We start from the raw sequence: 3555 nt of genomic DNA, 5'->3' as shown, positions 1-3555 counted from the left end.
AGGTAGGTCAGAGCAGGCTTCCCTCCAATGACAGGAGAACCTCTCAGCTGGAAGTGATCGAACCCTGAGGTCTCCATCTGAATTAAATCAGGGTGATTATATTTATTATCTGCTCTCGGCATCTTTGCCAAGTTTCTGAGTCAGATGCACTGAATTTGTACTTTCTGTCTGACACGCAGATATCTTATCCCTCATTTCCATGTGAGATTAAGACTGGCCCCGGGTGAAATGAGAGCATGGGGGCGGTGCTGGTGAAGTTAGTCTGTGTGTCACCCTCTCCATTTCCTCTTACACTCCCTTTATCCCCTTTCAGTTCCTCCTTTCCCACCAGGTGCCAGAGGGGTTATGCTTCCCCATAGTCTTTCTTGGCATTGGGGAAGTGATGGGAACTAACTTTTTTTTTTAAGTGTCTACTATGAAGCACATTATTGGGCATTCTTGAGTCATTGCTTAAGTTTTTAGTCCCTTTGCCTCCATGAGACAGCTTTTTATTATTTGGGTATCACAGAGATTGAAACTGAGGCTTTGAAAGGGTAGAAAACATGTCCAAATCACACAGCTTATAAATACAAAGGTGGGATTTAAGATCTGCCTGTCTGACTCCAAAACATCTGGGCTCCTGATATTGTACAAGGTCAGCTCCTCAGAGGAAAGGGATGAGATAAAATTATTTCCCATGGAGAGCTTTGTAACTTATGGTAGAAGGAGACGTTCTTTTCCAATAGAGTTTCAGCAAATTTGCTATGGTGAGAGGACTGGAACATTTAGGGCGGTGGAGGCTGTATTTTATCTGTGTATAAGACTAATTTCGGGCAGGATCCTCTCATGCTAATATGTGTCTCATAGCATTGCAGTTGATCTCTTCAACTGAGCATCTTTAGCTACCTGAGGTGCATTACTTAGCATTCATCACTTAAAGACTTTTTTTTTCTTTGACAGATGTTCTTTCATTACTCCTGGGAAAATAAATTTAGTGGGCTAAGCCCTTCATTTTAATCAAAGGAAAAGCCTAATTTAAAGCAAGGGGCAAACTCTGCCATCAGCACTAAGTTAATTAACCATGGTTATGTGTGCATAGGGTTCAGAAGAATCCCTCTGCACTTGTTGATGTCATAGAGCTCAACTATGACTTGCTTGATGATGCAGGCTTGCAGGTTTTTAGATGCTTCTCTGGGGCAAGGACCATGGCTGGAGCAGTGAATGGTTCCTCGTTACCCAAGAAAAATTTATGTACATAAAATACTTATATACATAAAGTTCCTGAAAATGAATCCACTTATAATATTTTAAGAATAATGAAAATAAAGGGGATTGGGCCTATATCTTCAAAGGGAAACTAAATCTCATAATTTGTTTATTATTATATTTAAATTAGGTTAAATTATACTTAGCACTTTAAGGAAACAAACACAGATGAATCAAATGCTGATCACTCATTTTTGGCTTAATTGTTGAATAAAAATATATGATAGCAATATGGAAATCCTCATTTAATATATGTATGACTTTGACAATGTGGCCACAATGAGGGTGCTTTTTGAAGTAAGTAAAGTAAGGACTTTGTTAGTTTTCTTAAGGGACTTTTTTTTTTGTTAATTTTCCCAATGACTTTTTTGATTTCTTGAATTGCATTCTATTTTTGTTTTTTTCTTTTGAGACAGGGTCTTACTCTGTCACCCAGGCTGGAGTGCATGGCGGCATCACAGCTCATTGCAACCTCCTGGGCTCAAGCAATACTCCCACCTCAGCCTCCCCAGTAGCCAGGACTACAGGTATGCACCACCATGCCTAGCTAATTTTTGTATTTTTAGTAGAGACTGGGTTGCATTATGTTGGCCGGGCTGGTCTCGAACTCCTGACCTCAAGTGATTTGCCCACCTTGGCCTCCCAAAGTGCTGGAATTACATGCATGAGCCACCGTGACTGGCCCTTAAGGGCCTTTTAAAATCCTTTTTTATTCATATATAGATATATATTTTTTGCCATGCCTATCACATCAGCATCCTTGCTGATTTCCTATTTATTATTCAGTAGGTCTACCTCTGTTAGCTTATTTGGCTTATGCGTGTGTGTGTGTGTGTGTGTGTGTGTGTGTGTGTGTGTGTGTGTGTGTGATCCAACACGTTTTTCAACATTACTGTTAGCCTTATGAAATCCTACAAGTTTTGCGATGTTTGCCATTTTGCTTGGCAATCTTTTGGTTTGCCTTTGAATTGTTTGATCTAATGTGTATGACATTCATACCATTGGTTAGAATTGCTAGTGTTGTGATGGGTGGGGATACAAGCCAGTGTTCAGTGGAGGGGGGTAAGTGGTGACTAGTATTATAACAGATCAGTCAGCCCTTTGTGAATATTTTTGTAATACAGTAATTTTGGCTTCCTCAGGCCACCATGTAATTGTTGGATGGTCATAATGCATGTTCAAATAATGACTTCCTGAACTCAAATGTTTGAATTACATGGAACTGACCTTGCCTGGATCTGTTCTCAACCTATAAATGTAGCAGATGTGAGGAGCCCACAGGCTCCTGGCTGCATGCACATAGATCAACTAAATCCTCTTCCAGCCATTTTGGTGTGCATGAATAGAGCTGAAAGCATTCCAGTACTGCTGGAATGTTAAATCTTGAATCCAGAGATCTGCTTGAAGGCTTATAGTTATCTATATTGTGATGCCTTTCAACAGATCTAAGAGGTTGTGTAGTTTTGATTCAAAGTGGGCTAAAGGGTTGGTAAATCTGAATGAAATTTGGGTTTCAGGCCTGTTCTGTTATTGGTATATTATGCTTTTTGAGAGGTATATTATGCTTTATGAGCCTTAGCTTCAGTTGACTTCAATATTGTCATTTTTGTGTCTTTTAATGTCATTTATAATTATATTCTATGTGATTATAACTTAATAAATAAGGACAACTTTTCCTTTCTATAAGTATTTTAGATACAACAGGTCAGTGGAAAAGGACAAACATGCTTGGTAAATCCCTTCTCTTCCCTCTTGACATATGTATGGCCACATGTGTGAATAGCATTATTTGCAAAGCAGAAAAGCATTTTAAAGTAATAATAAATTTTTTTCACAGACAGAGAGAAGAATGACACTTGCTTCTTCTTGATTGCTTCCTTCACACACTGTTAAACATGTTAAACAGGACTTTTTTTTCCTTGCTCCCATCACAGTTGAATGTGGGGTTTTGGGTTGAGGCTGTATTTTACTTCCCACTGCATCACGAGCTCCTTGAGGGCAAAACCCTTGTCTTATTTTGTTTCATCTTCGCACGATCTGACACAGGACTTCATAAATGTTACAATTTTTCTTTAATTGAGGTAGAAATGAAGAACCTGGCTTGGAAGGAAGGAAATGGAAAATGATTATGGTGGAAGTGAAGTGGGTTGTACTAACTTTGCAAGGACAGGAAATAAAGCAAGGTTAATTGGTGGAAGCCAGGACACAGGGCAGGTTCCCTGTGGTATCATATGAAAAGGGCAGAGGGCAAAGTACAATGGCTATTTCGCTGGGAAACAAATAAACAAGCTGAAACATGCTTGCCTGAGC

The 3555-nt window shown here is 39.3% G+C and overlaps 1 annotated feature.

Moving 5' to 3' along the window:
• Positions 340-399: an enhancer, noted in NCBI's record as "active region_6704". NCBI's record gives its function as "activates an Ori minimal core promoter by ATAC-STARR-seq in GM12878 lymphoblastoid cells {active_cell/tissue: GM12878}" and the evidence as "EXISTENCE:reporter gene assay evidence [ECO:0000049][PMID:35858748]".

Source organism: Homo sapiens, chromosome 12 (genome assembly GCF_000001405.40).
Source record: "Homo sapiens chromosome 12, GRCh38.p14 Primary Assembly".
Classification (NCBI taxonomy): Eukaryota; Metazoa; Chordata; class Mammalia; order Primates; family Hominidae; genus Homo; species Homo sapiens.
Note: the sequence above shows the minus strand (reverse complement) of the source record. Positions and strands in the feature narration are given on the sequence as shown.